This window comes from Homo sapiens, chromosome 7, assembly GCF_000001405.40.
Source record: "Homo sapiens chromosome 7, GRCh38.p14 Primary Assembly".
Classification (NCBI taxonomy): Eukaryota; Metazoa; Chordata; class Mammalia; order Primates; family Hominidae; genus Homo; species Homo sapiens.
In genome coordinates this window covers 133,475,931-133,494,691 of record NC_000007.14, presented here as the reverse complement: position 1 = coordinate 133,494,691, position 18,761 = coordinate 133,475,931, and the positions used below count along the sequence as shown (strand labels likewise).

The 18,761-nt window shown below is 37.3% G+C and overlaps 1 protein-coding gene and 1 long non-coding RNA gene across 12 annotated transcripts in view; one reads left to right on the top strand and one right to left on the bottom strand.

The window, feature by feature from the left end:
• EXOC4 (exocyst complex component 4) overlaps nucleotides 1-18,761 on the bottom strand; it is an 847,874-nt gene that overhangs the window by 606,260 nt on the left and 222,853 nt on the right. For 9 of the 11 annotated variants that reach the window (XR_007060126.1, XR_007060125.1, XR_007060123.1 and 6 more), the window contains exon 9: nucleotides 14,554-14,642. Coding sequence is in view for 3 of the 11 variants with exons in the window: in NM_021807.4 (NP_068579.3) it covers nucleotides 14,554-14,642 (89 nt within the window). In the remaining 8 variants the exon portion in view is untranslated. Of the gene's footprint in view, nucleotides 1-10,494; nucleotides 10,653-13,999; nucleotides 14,406-14,553; nucleotides 14,643-18,761 lie in introns of those variants that run through there. The other 2 variants (NM_001037126.2, XM_005250523.6) reach the window with 2 other exon arrangements.
• LOC124901748 (uncharacterized) lies at nucleotides 10,391-18,022 on the top strand. Its single transcript, XR_007060530.1, has 2 exons — nucleotides 10,391-10,884; nucleotides 14,183-18,022. It is a non-coding gene; the product is annotated as an uncharacterized LOC124901748 (long non-coding RNA).

Sequence of the window (18,761 nt, the reverse complement as noted above, 5' to 3'; positions counted from 1 at the left end):
AACTACATCTATTGTGTTAGGGTGAATACCATAATTTAGAAATGATAGTCAACCACTCAATTTACATGTTAAAGAATTCTTATGGAAAAAGTTCTTGTCTTGAGAAATTTTAAAAAATGATTCATGACATATTTAAGTGGATATGGAGTTAATGGTCCTCAATAACATTCCTATAATCTAGAAATGGTAGATAATCATAAATGAGCGAATGATTCATCCCATCAATTGCCTTGCTTTTATCAGTCCTCTTTCAGCAGACATGCTGTGGGGAATGATATCCATAAACAATTTATTGCTTGCTTTCTAAGCCAAGTCAAAAATTTCCCTTTCAGATCAGCTGTAACCTTTTTTTTTCAAACTTTGTTTCTGTGATGGTTACCTTTATATGTCAACTTGACTGTGCTAGGGACGCTCACAGAGCTAGTAAAGCATTATTTCTGAGTGTGTCTATAAGGGTACTTCTGAAGAGGTCAGCTTTCCAATCTGTAGATAGACTTGAAGAAAGAAGCTCTCCCTCACCAACGTATTACCCAATCCGTTAAAGGATTACAACTGCATTTTTATTTTTGTTTTCACAAGCAGCAAGAAAGTGATGTCAAACTGGAGGCAAGAGGAAGGCAAAACAATAATGTACATAAAACAATGCCAAATTTTCAGCTGCCATTAATTCATAAATAGAAGGGCTGTCCTTTCCCTTTTAACCTCTTTACTAGCCATATTCCAACCGTCCTAAATTATTTGTGTAGTAAAATTTAGAGTTCGTGCCACTGCAGACCAAATGGTTTTGAAGAAAAATGGCCACGTTCATCATGGCCATTAATATTTATCTCTGGGGTGAATATAGGCCAGAAAGACAAATTCACTAAAGGTCACCAAGTGTGGCCCTCTTAGTTAGAGGTATATGTGAATCACAACTACATTCTCAAAATGGATGTCACTTAACATTACAAGATTGGGACAATCTCTGAGGTAAACACATTTTCTCAACAGTCTAGAAAGACTTCTGTCAGAGAAGAAAACAGGAAAAATGGGGGTGGGGGGAGGAGTTTCTAGGGACCATTCTAAGAGATACTACTAGAACTTACTTGTTCACTAACAGGCTTATTGGTTCATTAATTTAAAAAAACATTTACTGAGTGCCTCCTATGTGTGACGAATGATGCCAGGTGCTACAGGTTACGGGTAAAATAATAGTTGTTAACATTTATCTGTACTTAATATGTGCCAGGCACAGTTTTTTGTTTTGTTTTGCTTTGAGACAGAGTATCGCTTTGTCGCCCAGGCCGGAGTGCAATGGTGCAATCTTGGCTCACTGCAACCTCTGCCTCCTGGGTTCACGTAATTCTCCTGCCTCAGCCTCCTGAGTAGCTGGGACTAGAGGCGTGTGCCACCATGTCCAGCTAATTTTTTAGTAGAGTTCAGTATTTTTAGTAGAGACAGGACTTCACCATGTTGGCCAGGTTGGTCTCAAACTGCTGACCTCAGGTGATCCACCCACCTCGGCCTCCCAAAGTGCTGGGATTACAGGCATGAGTCACCGTGCCAGGCCCAAGGCACAGTTTTAAACATTTTACATGTGTTAACTCATTTCGTCATCACTATGGCCCTATGAGGTTAGGTATATTATATTCACAGTTTAAGAAAATGAATGTGACACATAGAAGGAGTTACTGTGCCCAAAGTCACCTAGGTAGTAAGCCCAATTCCAGAGACCCACCACTCCGAACCTCTAACTAGTCCCCAGACTCTGCTGTGAGGAACATATAGTGGGCCAGTGACTGATAATCCAAGAACCTAGAGCTTTGGAGATAAATGAGATTCCAAAAAAAAAAATCACTTACCTTCTTCCTTTTACAACTGAGAAAACTGGTTAAGTGACTTGCACAAAGTCAGAGCAAGTTATCAAGAGACATCGCTAATAGTTTGATTTTAATAATAAAAATACAGGGTACATCAAGGAATAAAAATTAAAGAATTCATATTCTTAAGAGACTAAAGTGGGCACTAAAACTAATACATCAACGAAAGCCTAGAAAAAAAAGAAAGTAGTATTTGCAATTAAAAAATAAAAAGAGGAAAAGGGATGGAAGAAAACCGTAACTCCATTACTCTGAACTTGAGAAGAGGAATGGTTATGAGTAATCACAAACTGCTGAAAGCCTTACACTTGAGGGAAAGATAAAAGATTAGACTATGTAGTAAAATTATATTGGGCTAGATTAGATTAGACAGAACTAAACACAACCAAAAGAGAACCATAAAAGCATACATAATGAAATGCTATCTTTACCCCTATCTAACACTCCATAAAAACTACTCCTCTTTTTATATTTCCTGTCTTAACAAATGACATCATTACCTACCCAAGACACCAAAATACATCTCTTCTTGCTGAAACACCACACAGAATGAGTCACCATGTCCAACTGATTGTACCTCCAAAATAGGTTCTGGGTCACTTCCCACCTCACCTAAGAATTCTTCTATGAGCTCTCACCTGAAATAACAAAACTTGCCTCTTTGTCTACACTCTCATTCCACTCAATTCATTCTCCACACAGTCATCAGAAAACATTTTCTAAAATGCACATTTCATTATGCGACTCTCCTACTTTAAACCTTTGGAGGACTCCTTATCACCCGCAGGACAAAAACCGAACCTTCTTGCTATGGCATACCAGGTCTTTTGAGATCTGCCTACCAGTCTTCCATGTCTATGTTCAATCTTCCCCATACACTTTATGCTTAACCACAATAAAATATTTCCAGTTCCATGAGATTCTCAAACATCTGTGTGTTCATCCACATCTTCTCCCTACTTGCCGCGAGTTCCCTTCCTTTGTTCAGTGTGGTCAACTCATCTTACCAGTTCGGCGTAAGAATTCCACCTTTGTAATACCTCCTATGACTTCCCTTGAAAATGTTAAGTGTTTTCTCTTCTGTACTCCCCAAAGTACTTCTAATATTCACTGAAACTGTGACTGTTTGCATGTCTTATCTTCTACAGCATCTAGAACCCCTCTGCACGCAGAAAATGTTCCAGGAACAGGCCCCAGAATATAGTTGGCCTAGAAATGTTGACTGTACACCATAACCTCCAGTGTGTCAACTGATATGACAGCCCTAAGAACTAACCAGCATTAACTTCATTACACAGATGAATAACCTAGAGCTCAGAAAAGTAAAGTGCCTTGCCTAGAAAAGCTAGGATGAGTAACAGGTGATCCTTCTACTAAACCCCAAGCTACTCAAAGCCCAAACAGAGCTGCACCAATATTCCACATATGAACATCACTAACCAACTGAACAGGATATGTAAATGAGTTAGCTGGTGCTGAAATCAGACATTAATGTGCAAACAAACAGGGACTTATTTGAGCTAAGTGGGCATGAATATGCAAATTACTGGCTGCAATTCAGTAGATGTCATCACAATTCTAGGAATGAACATCCTATATTATGACTATTACAATATTCATGTCGCATTCATACATACTATCATATATTACTGTAATATGGGCTTTTCCAGTTTAAAATTGTGGAGAAGCCAAAAGTAACTTAATGCATATTTTCATCCACACCAAAATTACAAGCTGGAAATCAGATGTGAGCACACAGAGCTCTGCAATCTCCATATAGAACCAGGCTGCCATCATGATCACTTGCAGTTCAAGCTGAACATTCTATTTTTAACGCAAGGTACTTTAGAAATAGGTTGTGCCGTGGGCCCTACCAATATTTCCAGCCTCAGCTACCATGCAGAGTCTAATATAATATGCTATAATAAGTGCATTTAAAACAAAGTTATTTTTTCCTATAGAATTTTTAATAATAAAGCTGCATAGCTACAACACTTGAACAATACTCGGAAAATCCTGTATGTGATTACATTTATTCTTTGCTCAGGTATAATAATGACCTTTATTTTCCCATATCACCAGTACACCATTGGTTCTTATCAATTCTTAATCTCTTACTAGGATGAACAATGGCCAAAGCCATTCATAATAGCTTTGATGTACTTTCATCTGACTCCTGAAAGTAACAAATTATAATCAGTAAAAATCTGTATATATAAACTGAGTTCCTTAATTAGTAGAAAAATATCCGATTCATGTTGTGAAACTCTGATGAGAGAAGAGCCTATACTCTCATACTTTCATACATTTACCCATACTGTGCCTGATGCCTGAAATGCTTGCCTCAATTTCTTTACCTGGAAAACTTCTCTTCATCTGTTATAACCGAGTTTAAGCTTTAAATACTTATAGATGCCTCCCTGCCTTTCCCAGAACTTGTATATGCATCCCAGTTGTCTATATACATACACACAACTCCGTGATAGTGTGTATCACAGAGCTGTGATCACTTGTGTTCCTGCTGAATTAACTGGGATATAAGTAGGGCTGCATGTAACATGAATCAAAACACTAGTGAATTAACAAGTCAGAGTTTACTCATCTCTCATGCAGAAGTCCGGGATGATGCGGTGACTCTGGTCCAGGAAGTTACTGAGGTATGGCACTACACAGTATCAGAAACCCAGGCCCCCTCTGTCTTGTTGTTGTAGCTTTCCTTCAGTGCTGCCTCACCTGCATGGTCTAGGAGGACTTACCACATTCCATTCATATCCACACCTTCACACACAGGCTGGGCTGGGAGAGAAAGACAGCCTCTTTCTTCCCAATAAGAGAATGACCCAAAGTTACACACATTACTTTCAATCACATCCTATTAGCCAGAATTAAATTACACGTCCATGTTGGCTGCAAGGCAAGTTAGAAATGTTCCTATTTTGGGTGGCCCTGTGACTAGCGAAATATCAGGGACTCTATGAATTTGGAGGAAAGGGAGAACAAATGCTGGGAGGCAGGTGACCATATAAGTGACACATTTATGGTCCCTTTCTTTTCTTTTGGCCTTCAAAGGCAGTCCTGTTCATTATTTTATCCTGAGGGCCTAGTGAAGTATCCAGCACAAGTAAACATACAATAAACCTATACAGGATTAACAAATAAACAGAAAGTCCCTTAACACAGGAAACAAAAGTATAATCGCTGCTGACTCCAATTAATGTTAGGTGTCTGACATCCCAGATGGAGGATGATGGAGGGAGCAGGTAAGTTGGGAGGAAACTCTTCTAACCACAAAGATGCCTTCTCATGGACGACTTAAGGTACAGTACTCGTTCAGGGGTAGTTCACAGCTTTGGCACATACCAGGAGTTGCAACAAAAGTGCTGCTGTCCAGAAAACTCCACATTTGTTCTCGATTTCTAAACAGGAACATTAAACTACATACATGGTTTTGTCTCTAAAGCTTTAAGAGGCTTCTTAAAAAATTGTTTATATCTGTACATTTTATGAAATGTATGAGTGCATATGACATTTGTACAGTTTTTAAAAGAATAAAACAACAGTATTTCTGTAACAGCTTAAGAAAGAGAACATTACTAGGATCTTTGAATCCCCACGAGATCCTCTCTTTGGTTACAACCCTCCTCCATCCTCTCCAGAGGTGATGTTTTCCTTGACTTTTATATTTATGCCCTTACCTTCTTCATTTTTTTATCACACAGGATATATTCCTATGAAATAGGCTATTCAGTTCTGCCTGCTTCTGACCTTCATACAAATGACATTAGATTTTATATATATTAAATATATTAGATATTATATATTAGATTCATATATATTACATATTAAGTTTACATGTGTAAGATATTAGATTTATATTAGACTTTATATAGAGATTTTATATATATTACATTATAAATGTTTACATTTCTATATATAATCTAATTTCTAATATATTATCTAATATTTTCTTATATGACTACCTTTGAGATTCAACCAACTCAATGTATAGCATAGTTCATTCATTTTCATTGCTACATAGTATTCTACTTTGTGACTCTACAACAACTTACATATCCATCCTTCTTTCTATGGGCATTTGAGCTGTTTCTCGGTTTTTGCTACTAAAACAATGTTGCTATGAACATTCTGAATAGGTTTGCCTTTCACATTTGAGTTATCAACCTATTGGAAATTTATTTCCCTAAATGATATGAGGTACAAATCCAATTTCTTTGTTTTTTTCCTATATGCATGATCAATTGTCTCACCATTCTTTATTGACTGGTCTGTCCTCTTCCTAAACTTTGTAAAGTCATTTCTCCCTCATATAATATTTCCATATGTCTGCCTCTGAGTCTTTAGTGTTTTAAATAGTACCCTGGGTGCCCACACAGAGGAAGGAAAAAGAAAAAGATGAAGTGAGGTTGAATCCTCACCCCCACTTTGTTAAACTATCTCCACTTTTACCTGTTGTCTACCTTGAACTGTGAAATAAGATTAAATAGAAGAAGAGTTCTATAACTAAAAATGAATTTAAAAAGCACTAGACTATGAGTTCTAAAGCACTTTCTAGCACTAAAATCTACTGTTTTATTTTCCAGATATCACATTACCTGCATGTTTACATAAATTTCTTCTGAATTTTGTTAATTAATAGCTCCCTTCATAAAGGAAAATTTCTATTGATACTATTAGTATTCCTAAAAGGATCCAAACTTCATTTTCAAATATAAAATTATCTTATGAATTGTGTTTATTGGGACAATAATAAATTCATTATTTAGTATTTTCATCTGTTTCTAATAATTACTTTCTTTACCATATGCCATAAATGTTTGTGGTCTTCTCCATATTTTAACAAGGCTTAACTCATAATGAGTGGTATTATATAAACTATTAGAATAGCCAAAAATATACTTTCTTGTGGGCCTAAAAAATGTCTAATAAGATGAGCAAAGCTGTTATTTTTACCTTATTAAAAAACCAATGTGAACCAAATAATTGAAAATATGAGATATAAGTTAACTTTTAAATTTCCCTGTTGCATCATTTCAGAAGTTTTTGTTCTGAAAACAAAAACTTTTTACACAAATTTCGTTTTTTTTGTTTGTTTGTTTGTTTTTTGAGATGGAGTCTCACTCTGTCGCCCAGGCTGGAGCACAGTGGTACGATCTTGACTCACTGCAACCTCCACCTCCTAGGTTCAAGCAATTCTCCTGTCTCAGCCTCCTGACTAGCTAGGACTACAGGTACATACCACCACACCCAGCTGATTTTTGTATTTTTAGTAGAGACAGAGTTTCACCATATTGGTCAGGCTGGTCACGAACTACTGACCTCAGGTGATCCACCCACCTTGGCCTCCCAAAGAGAGGGGATTACAGGAGTGAGCCACCATGCGCAGCCATAAATTTGGCTTTTTTAAAAAACCATATAATATAAATGTAGAGAAATGCATTTGTTCAACTTTTAAAACTCAAATACATTACGTTTCATTTACCAGCATTCCTTCTTTTCTCACATCTGTATGAATGAATAGAATATTTTTAGAAATAAGGTTAGATGTCATCAACTGGTTCTGTGTGATGACCAAGTATCATATCTCAAGAGCGAGGTTCTTAGGCTTCACTGAGTAATCGGCTTTGTGATGGTTATTTTGTATTCTCAAGATCCATTTTACCATAAATTCCAGGCTCTTCCATATGGTTCAGCTATGCATGGTTTGTCTACTGGCTAGACAAAATACTGCATGGATCAGATTTATTCAGAAAACAAATCCAACTTATATAAAGTAAATCCATAACTAAAGAATATTTTTAAATAAATGTCTACATCAATTAAGGCTAAAAAGTAGTACACTTGATAACAATCTTGGCATAAGAATATTTTTATTTCCTAAATGATTTGAAATAATGCAATCTGTTCATGACTTGAGGAAAGTATATTTATTAGTTACAATGTCTTAGGGATAGACAAAGAAATGAGCATTTGTAAAAATTCTATTATAACTTTATTATAAGACAAATCTTACATATAAGTAAGTTAAGGTCATTCTTTTAAAAAAAAGCAAGAATATAAATCCATGAAGAAAAGGGGAATCAATTTTTAAACACTATTTTAGAGGCTAAAACAGAAAAGATGACTATGAAAGATTAAAAGTTATTTTGTAATAATTATATGCAATTTTCAGAAGAAAAATGTACTTTTTTTCATGTTCCCTGCATATTGTTGCATAGTTATTAATGAAGTCATTAAGCAAATTCTAGAAGGCAACAAAGAATTTTCTAATCAAACTTCAGGGTATAAAGTTTTGAAAGTGCTTCTTATATTTAAGGCTGCAGAACAAATATATGTCATAAGCATAATATTGCTATACAAAATAATGCACCTCACTTCAATCAAAGTGACCCTGAAAATGTGTGCAAAAGTGAAATATTGCCTTAAATGCTCCATTATAGAACAGCTTGCTATATAAGAGACTCCTATTATAAATCCTTTTAGTAGAAATGGATAATCAACTCAGAGTGAATCTATCTCAAATACTGTCTTTTCTTAAGGCAAGACACCCCCGAAGAGATTAATTACATACAAGTATTCACAATCCCAGTCACCGACAACCCATTAGAGAGAAAAACTCAGAAAATTCAGGTTAGGCCAGTATAAGAGCTTTTTTACCTATGCCAGTATGTCCATATTTACTATGTAATGCAAATCATCTTAAAGAAGTGAGGTCTCAAGTGGTTGGAGATTTACAGAACATTTTAATGTCAGGGCTATAGAAAGGCCACTCATTAAACTAATGGAAATAAAAATGGCACTCTAAAGGTAATATCATTGAATAAAAACAAAAGTATTAAGTAGCCCCGAGATAGAAAAGAAAACATAATGGAAATTGAGTATACATTTCTATTTGAATCAATGGCAATTAATATACTCTTACTCATTCATGAGTTTTATTATCCTTAAAAATGAGAAAAGACAAATCACAGGACTCCCAGTCTGTTTATTTAAACAACCACTAGGGTTTCTCAAATAAGTAGGCTTGTACCTACAAATAAGGAGATATTAAAGATAGAATCATATGTGTTCATCATATATGTCTTAAAGCGCCTAATTCAAGCCAAGCATTATCCTAGGTACTGAAATGTACCCGTGAATAAGGCTTGCACTCTGGGTCAAGGGAAGTGAAGGAAGTTAACAAAGTTAAAAAAGACATGTACATATTAAGAAAAGTACAATGAGAAAATTTTTTTAAATATTGTGATAAAGAATTATATTGTAGGGAGACGGGATGCTAGAAAAGGTTAGACAACAATGAGAAAAGGGCAGGAGACACAGACATGGAGGTCAGCTGTGCTCGGGCACTGAGTGAAGCTTGGTCTTGGCTGAGATCATCTGGGGAGAGTCTACAAAGTCAGCACAGAAGAAATCCCAGGACCAAATCATGAGATACTCCAACAGGCTTTTGACAAGACTCAGAAAGAACATGAGGATAAGAAAAGAAAAACAGCGGAAAGATCAAGTGAAATGAATGTCAGAAAAAGCTAATATTAAGTCTACCAAGCAGAGGTCACTGGTGACTTGGAGGAGAGCTAACTCAGTGGACTGGAGTTGAAGAGAAAATGGGAAGTAACGAAGTAGATGCAGCACCCTTAACTCCATGATGATACTTTTTAAATTTTTATTTATTTATTACTGACTCATTTATTTAATTATTTATTTATTTATTTATTTATTTATTTATTTATTTTTTGAGACGGAGTCTCGCTGTGTCTCCCAGGTTGGAGTACAGTGGCGCGATCTCGGCTCACTGCAACCTCCACCTTCCAGGTTCAAGCGATTCTCCTGCCTCAGCCTCCCAAGTAGCTGGGATTACAGGTGTCCGCCACCACGCCAGGCTAATTTTTGTATTTTTAGTAGAGAGGGGGTTTCACCATATTGGCCAGGCTGGTCTCAAACTCCTGACCTCAAGTGATCTGTGCACCTCAGGCCTCCCAAAGTGCTGGGATTACAGGCATAAGCCACTGTGTCTGGCCCAAAATGATTTTTTAAAACATCACTTTATCATTTAAATCAACATTGCTAATCTAATGTTTCTAATTTAGAAATTTCTAATACTAATAATTTAATATTTAAGTTAATAGTCACAACATTCCCCTAAAGTAGTCAGGACTGAAAACAGTTCTAATTTTTTCCTATGAGAAATCTGAGGCAGAATGTCATTGATAAACCTGTGAGCTTATTTTGGTCATGAGTGGTAGTCTTTAGATTGTTTTTTGTTTTTGTTTTTTTTTAACCCTCACCAGATAATGTGTTCATCAATTATCTATTCCCCTGAAGAATTATACATTAAACCTGAGAAGCTATATTCAAATAAAATGTTCATTAAAACTTGTATCTTTCTTCACTCCCAGCACTGCTAAGTACAATGAAGCGGCAGAGACTAAAACCACAGGAAGCCTATGATTAACACTGACACACCCACAAGTTAGATCTCCACCTGGTATCTCACACATTTTGAAGCAGCACCCACATCTCCGCAGCCCAACTGCCAACAGCAGACTATATAATGAACCATCTGTACCATAACAGTTAGAGCCTATTGAGATGCATTGATAACACCAAAGAAATCTCATTTTTTTAATCCTTTTATCCTCTTGGGTGTTGTTAGACTGAGTCACATTTCTAATTGTATGATAAATTGAAAATGTTGGCAGGAACTTAACTTTTGTAAAATTTGAGCTTTTTAATGTTACTTTGATTGTCTTTCTGGTGGATTTCTTCGCCGCTACCCTGCAACGGAAGGAAAAGTTGACGTATGAACCGAAATTACTGGGAAGCAAAGCCTGCCGCTATATGGTGTTAACAGAAGAAACAAAAATCTTCCCTTAGTCTCTTACGGTTTGACTGAACTATTCAATTATGCCTTTTCAGGGACAAGCTGAAATGCAGATCTCATTGTGGTCCTTGGACCAGTCATTAATGGAATAACTGAAAAAGGACAGCCGTTTTTAATGGAAGACAGGTATGATTTTCTTCTCTTTTTTCCTGTTGAAATGTTAAAAGCATTCATCAGAGAAACTTTTCCTCCTGAATGAAACACCATCAGACTTTTACAAAAACTGGTCCACTGATTTATTCTCTCACCAAGTGTGTAATATGTCAGCTCACCTAAAGTATTTTTAATGATTATTAGGAACATAATGTGGTTGCTAACTATTACTTTTCTTCTGTTGTAACCAGAAATATTCCTTGCTGAAAACTGGTAAGTTCAATCGACTTGTGCTTGAAAGCCCATATTTCAATTAACTTTTTGAAGGATGGGAAAATTCCTAGTTAGATTGTAGTGATTTCTCCATTAACCATCCTCACAGAGTAAAATTCCTCTGTCACTTAGATTTTAAAATGTTTTTCAATTACATACAGTAGTTTTGTCCTGGGCCAGAGAGCTCAAGGGCAATATTTCTATTTAATAAAGCTTATAACTGCAGAGGACAAAACCATATATGTATACCCTCTACTTTGCCTTCAACTTAAAGACTAATGGAAAACTATAAAGCTGAAAGTGGTTCCTTTCAGGCCCTTCCTGCCTCTCCATGGTGCTCTCTATCCTATTTTAGATCCTAACTGTCCTCATTCATTCTGTCACTAAGTCAACCAGTATTTATCAAACATTTATTGTACCAGGTGCTGTGAGAAGCACAGGAAATAAAATAGTATTTTGCTCTTGCAGCTTATAGTTTCGTGGCAAACTCAAACAAGAGAGCATTGTTCCACAATGCAGTATGGAAAGTACTCAGAAGAACATCATTAAAGATGTGGCAGTAACACACAGCAGGGGCCACAACCCCAGAATGTGTGTGTATTTGTGACAGGCTGAGAGAGGAGGGACCAACAGGGAAGCCCATCCAAATGAGCGATACCTAAATTTAACTTGGAAAGCTCAGGAGGGCTTAGCCATATAAAGATGACAGAAAGGACAAACAGAATGTGTGTGAATACTCTGAAGTCACACCACAGTACTAGAAATAGAGGAGAAGAAGAAAGGCATAGCATTCACTATATGTCAGACACTTTTTGAAACACTTCCTAGCTTAACTCACCTAATTTTCATAACCACCTCATGGAGTAGGGAGTGTTACTTTTATTCCCATTTAGAGAAAAGGAAAAAGAGGCACAGAGACCATGGAACTTGCTGGAGGTTACAAAGCAAGTGCTGGGGAGCTAGGTATCTAAATGGAGGTGACTTGGGCCCAGAGCCACCTACTCTGCACTGCCACCCTATACTGTCTCTCAAGAGAGCGTGGACCACTGGGGCAGGACTGAAAAGCCTTCCCACGGCTGCTGCAGAGTGCTCTCCATTCTCACTCATACAAGCATAAAGAATCTGCCACTAGTCCTGTGCCCTTGTTGACTATTTATGCTTGAGTGTGAGTGAGCGATGAGAGGTCCTCGGTCCCTATGTAACCATAGGGACATGCTCTGCCTGTTCACTAGAAGGGTCAAATGGAAGGCTGCACTGTGCTGACGGATGTCGACACTGGAGGAAGGTGGGCATGTGTGGGGACAAGGGCACACAGGAACTCTGTTCTTTCCACTCAATTTAGCTGGGACCTTATAACTGCTCTAACAGATAGTGTTTATTAATTTTTAAGAAAGAAAATAATTAGGACTCAACCTAAAAAGAAGAAAGGAGATGCTTTGTCACCATCAAATAAATTTATGTGTATTAGAAGACAGGTGTAGAGAAAATATGGAGGCAAATTTAAACTATTCCTTAAGGCAAATCTGAAGAGAAATTAAAATTAGGATACCGTGAGTGTGGAAGATACACTAGCCTTAGATAGCCTGCTAAGGGCAGTTCGAGCACAATCCTACCTCCTGCAATAATGTATGTTCTGTTATCATCATTTCCTTTCACTCTTGGCAGCCTAGCCTCTTCTCCTGGGAGGCAGAGAAAGCCTGCTAGAGCATGAGTCACCCTCCTCCTTCACTCCTTTCTGTCCTTTCACTTGTTCCAGGTCTAATGACAGTCTGTACTCCTCTACATCAAGACTCTCGACATGCACATTGCATGTCTTCCAGAATGCATGACAACCCTTTCATATTAAATAAAATGTTGGTAGGCTAATCTCCTCTTCCTAATACCCTAAACATACTTCTAGGCTTTTACTTCTGGTGACCACATTTATGGGCTGTAGAACTATTACTGTGATATAAATATGAGAGAGTACAGCAGCATCTTTGGAAAAACTTACAGGTTATTCTATTAATAACAAAGGTGAAGTTAGGAATGACAAGGCAATAGTCTTTAAATCAAGAAAGGTTGAGTGGTTACTTCATAGTGTTTTGGTACAGAATTATGAGTCTTAAAGACTAAATATTTAATTACACAGGCCAGTCACTGCAAAATGCTACGTGAGCCCAACGCATCAAGACAGTAAAAGTATTCGTTCCCATCCCTCATGGAGAAAAGCCCAGAGTTCTAAAACAATTTATGTAATCACTCCTTTCTTGTAATTTCTCTAGCAATTTATCCATACCACCCACTCAGTTGTTAGTATTTACTTCCTGATATTGTTATTGACGTGTGTGTGTGTGTGTATCTCTGTGTGTGTATGTATATATGCACACACACATATGTATACTTTACTTTCATAACTAGATCTTTAAGCTTTATATTTCTTTGTACCCAACTTCCACTACTTCCAACACCTAAGATGTCTTACACTTAGCAGGCCCTCACCAATGTGGTTTTGTTGTTTTTTTTTTTTTCTTTTTTTGAGACATGGTCTCACTTTGTCACACAGGCTGAAGTGCAGTGGCATGATCTCAGCTCACTGCAACCTCTGCCTCTCAGGCTCAAGCAATCTCACCTCAGCCTCCTGAGTAGCTGGGAATACGCACGTGCCACCATGTCCAACTAATTTTTGTATTTTTTTATAGAGACAGGGCTTCGCCATGTCGCCCAGGCTGGTCTTGAACTCCTGGACTCAAGTGATCTGCCTGCCTCAGTCTCCCAAAGTGCTGAGATTACAGGTGTTAGTCACCACACCTGACCTCCAAACCTTTCTTAACTCATTACATTTACATGATCAGCATCTTTTTGTCACAGAAGGAAATGTTATCAGTCTAATATATTTATTTATATTTAATTTATTTTCTAAATATTTTCTTCTTCAGCTTACAACTCTTTGGTAACTATACATGGGTATCAAATAGCCTGTTCATCACAGTTATATTGATTATAACATACTATTTAGAGGCATCTTTTTCCCTTTAAATAATGACAGTGGTTGCATTTTCCCTTTCCCAAATCTCAGGTACTCCTGTCATATTCTAGAAGGTGTCAAAAACAACAATTAGAAGTAACAGTGGCAGTCGCAGAAGACCAACATTCTCCTAGATTGTGACTGGACTCAGGTCTTCTGTTTAAGCAAGACGAGCCTGGCCTCATCTCTTTTTGCTTTGAATTCCCACTTGAACAGTAGCAGGTCTACAAGTCCTATGGCCACAGTAATAGTTTTACCTGCTTGGCAGCAGATGCTGGGAAATTACAGAAGAAACAAATTATTAAGTCACTAAGTGTTTGTTACCTTGAAAGGATCGTGTGAATGCAGGACACAAACTCATGTGTAATAAAGGAAATACTCCTCCAGAAAATTAATTTTTCCAGAGAAGCTCAATCACTCACCTTGCAGTTCTCCACTCCGACTATAGAGCTCCCTTCTCTGTTCTCGCAGATAGGCGCTCATACTGATGGCATGGGAGGACGATTCGAACCTGCAGAGAAACACAGGGGAAACAGACAAGCAGGTGTAAACCAATTAAGTGCTGACCAGCTCTGTATTCCACATTATTCTACTCTGGTCTGTGTGGTGCTCCCCGATGTTCCGTGATGAAGACACTTTGGCTATACCATGACAGGGCCAGGGCCAGCTGCCGCAGACCTTGATTTATGAGCGATATTCCTGGCTAAGGCTCCTTTACAACCGTATTTGGATCTTTTGCTTATTCTGCATTTCAACTGGTACAACTGTGATCTGTCCCAACTTCCTTTTGCTTTCAGACCCCCATCAGCCTTTAGCCAGGATCCTTATACATGCAGCAACGAAAGCATCCTATGAAGTCATTCTAATTACGTTACCATCCAGCTCAGAAGTCACCAGTGACTGCCAGCTACCAACACAGACACACTGGCTCCTCAGAGCAGAACTCATGCCTAACTTCCACAGGTAGAGGACTAGACAAAGGACATACTAGAAATGTGGCTGAATAACAGCACCAGAAAAGCAAGGCAGCTATAATCTCTCCCTAAATGGCCTAAAAAACAGTTTCTTTTCTAAATGGCTGCTAGTTTTTTGACGTGCTGCCTACAATATAAAATACTCTCAAAAATACCAAGCTACGCAATATTTGTTCACACCTACCCAGGAACTATTTCAGAGGTTAGAAACACTGGTGAAGGAGGGAGAAGGAGGGAGAGACTCATGATAAAGAACAGGTTTCTAAAACCTAAAATAATAACTACAAAAAGAAATAACAAAAACAAATCAGTCTTAAGATAAACGTGCAAGTAAGAAAAAAAACAGATAAAATTATGACATATCAAACAGTAAATCCTTTGATGTGATAAGAGATCCCATTTCAAACTGAGATTTCAAAGGCAGGATAACAACCTGCCAGATGGAGGAATCCTTCTAAGAATGACTGCCACTAAGGGGTAAAAGCAGCAACATAGTACGAGCAACAGTGCTAATGGGATAGGTTTCTGGCAACAAGGCAGGCACACCATCATTTTCTTAATTATGCCTTCTTTATCCTTTCCTTGACAAGGAACATGAATACTGAGATGAATGTCAGTCTGTGAGGGAAACACTTGGGTTACGTGATCCCCTCTCTGCACCCTGCCAAGAACTAAGAGGGTACTAACAGCCAGAAAGAAGGCAAAGTGTGCAGTACTTCAAACATGCCACCTGCCAGTCAAGTGCAGAAAAGAAGCCACTGACCTCCAAAAAGCATGCTGACAGCTATTGATCAGATACGGCAAAGAAAAAAAATAAATAAACTCTTAAGCAAAGAATAGAGAGGCACACATAGCACAATAAGGCAGGACTTAAACAGACTTAATTAACCTTAGCTAAGGGTAATTAAAGAGGGTAATAAAGTCCTCCACAGATGTGATAAAAACAGTCAAAATCTTAATCCTTTATGACTTGATGTATTTTTGGTACTCAGGAATTCTTTTTATGTCTGCAACAAGTCACAGACTGATATAATTTTGCAGTAAAAGAGGCACTAGAGATTGAGTCTCACCTCCTTAGTTTATATCCAGAGATACTGAGACCTGCTCAGACACACATGGGCTCAATGATAGCACCAAGACTGGAAACAGACAAATCTGTAATAACGGCCTAATTCTGTGTCTGTGATAAGTTTCATTACTGCCCAATAATAAAAAATGTGTAATAATTATTTAAGCCAATTTGTTCATTTCCAACAATTTCTTTTTTTTTTTTTCCCAATACCACAACTTCAGAAGCACTGGCTAAATGTTTGAAAATGTGTATGTGGTCTGACTGAGGTTGAAAGTCAGCGGTGATGGTTGAGAGCATGAACTTTAAACCCTAAAGCCTGTTTTCTGCAATGATTCCATATTTAGAAGGTTAAATTGAGCTAGAAATAGAGAAAAGAAAAAAAAAAAAAGAAAAGAAAAGGGCCTGCTTAGGCGCATCTGAGACAGTGTCAGTTGCCTCTACCAACTACCTTTTCCTTCTACTATCTTTGTGCTTGCTGGCATAGCCCTGATTCCATCTGGGCATTCTGCTTCCTTGCTCTTTACTCAGCCATGTGCTCAGAAAAAGTGGCTTCCTCTCCAGCTGGAAACCTAGCACCAGAGAGAAACCTGCCTAGTTTAAGACAACCACTGAGATCTGCTTCCCCTTGCCAGTGACTAGTTTAGGAATGGGCTTACGACCCAATCCTAGAGCTTAATAGGAACTTGCTGAAGAGTTTTGTCATTAGCAGAAATGATTAATAAACTGATAATTCGTAAGTACTAATTTAAAAAGATTTAAAATGGTGCAGCCACTTTAGAAGACAGTTTGACAGTGTCTTATGAAGCTAAACATAGTATCACTGAATGATCCAGTAATGTTGCTCCCAGGTATTTACAAAAATGAGTTGAAAATTTATGTCCACACCAAAACCTGCATATGAGTGTTTAAAGCAGCTTTATTCGTGATTGCCAGAAGCTGGAAGCAAGCAAGATGTCCTTCAATAGGTAAATAAGCAAGCTATGGCATATCCACACAAAGGAATGTTACTCAGCAATACAAAGAGACACCTATCAAGCCACAAAAAGATGTGGAAGAAAGATAAATGCATATTGCTAAGTGAAAGAAGCCATTCTGAAAAGGCTACACACTGATTCTGACTATACAACATTCTGGAAAAAGCAAAACTTATGGAGATAGTCAAAAGATCAGAGGTTGCCAGGGGTTAGGGAGGGTGGAGGGATGAATATGTGGTGAATGGAAGATGTTTAGAGCAGTGAAACTGTTCTGTATGACACTGTAATGGTGGGAACTTATGCCTTGTCAAAACCCATTAGAACTGTACAACACAAAGAGTGAACTCTAATGTAAACTATGGAATTTAGTTAATAATGACATCTCAATACTGGTTCATCAATTCTAACAAACAGACGCTAATACAAGATGTTAAATAGGGTAAAATGCAGAGAAGCGGGGAATATAAAGGAACTCTCTGTACTTCCTGCTCTACTTTTCTATAAACCTAAAACTGTTCTAAAAAATAAAGTCTATATGTTTTTTAAAGAGAGAGATTCACAGGGAGAATCACATGCAATTTTCTTGCCCACACTGTCTTTACTGGACTGGAACTGATGGATACACCTCGTGATCGCAATAGAAAACATTACTAATGTGTTGAGGATGGCAATGCAGAGAGATGGAAAGGGCTGAGTCCTTTATGATATTGTACAGTTGAATTAAGGAAACCTCCACATTCATCCTTGTTACGTGAGATAGTAACTTTCCTATAGTTCAATCTATTGTATTTAAAGTTTTATGTTACTTGCAGCCTAAAGCATTGTAACTGATATTGCATCCACTCTCTGAATAAAACTGTTTAAAAAGGAATGCATTCAATAAACAGAATAGATTTCATTTCTGGCAGGGATATACTAAATAAATCTCCTCTCTGCTAGATCACAAAATAAATAAACTGTTGAAGCTTTAATTATTAAAAACACTAAAAATCTAAGATAAAAACAAGCCTCAAATGTGAATCAACAGAAGATATTAGATCTCCAACTGCTGAAAAAGAATAAATTCAATATACTGGGATACTTCAGTGGTGGTCACTTTACATGCTTATATTTACAGACACAACTTCTTAAATATCTACTAAATCCTCAAAAGAAAACAGATCTAAAGTAAGACTGCCAGGATTTAAATCCTCCTTCTACCACATGCTAGCTATGAGACCTTCTGTAAATTACTTAACCTTTCATGTCTCTATTTTTTTATATGTACAAAAGTATTAAAAATACAACCCTTGCCTATAAGGTTGTTGTAATTAGTAAATAAAATAAGCTATGAGAATAATTTAATGCCTTGATTAGCACTTAGTAAGAACTCAATAAACGTTAGCTACTACTGCTGCTGCTAAAATTTAGTATACTCAAATTTAAAGTATGTTTAACTGAGATTATTTTGGGAAACTCACCCAGTACAGTGCCTGATACCTAGGAAACACTTAATCAGTGGTACCTGTTGTTACTATTGAAGTTATTATCAATATTATTAACTATTAGCTGTTGCCAAGAGATATACACTTTGGGCACATGGGTTCATGGAGTTAACTAAGGTTATAATT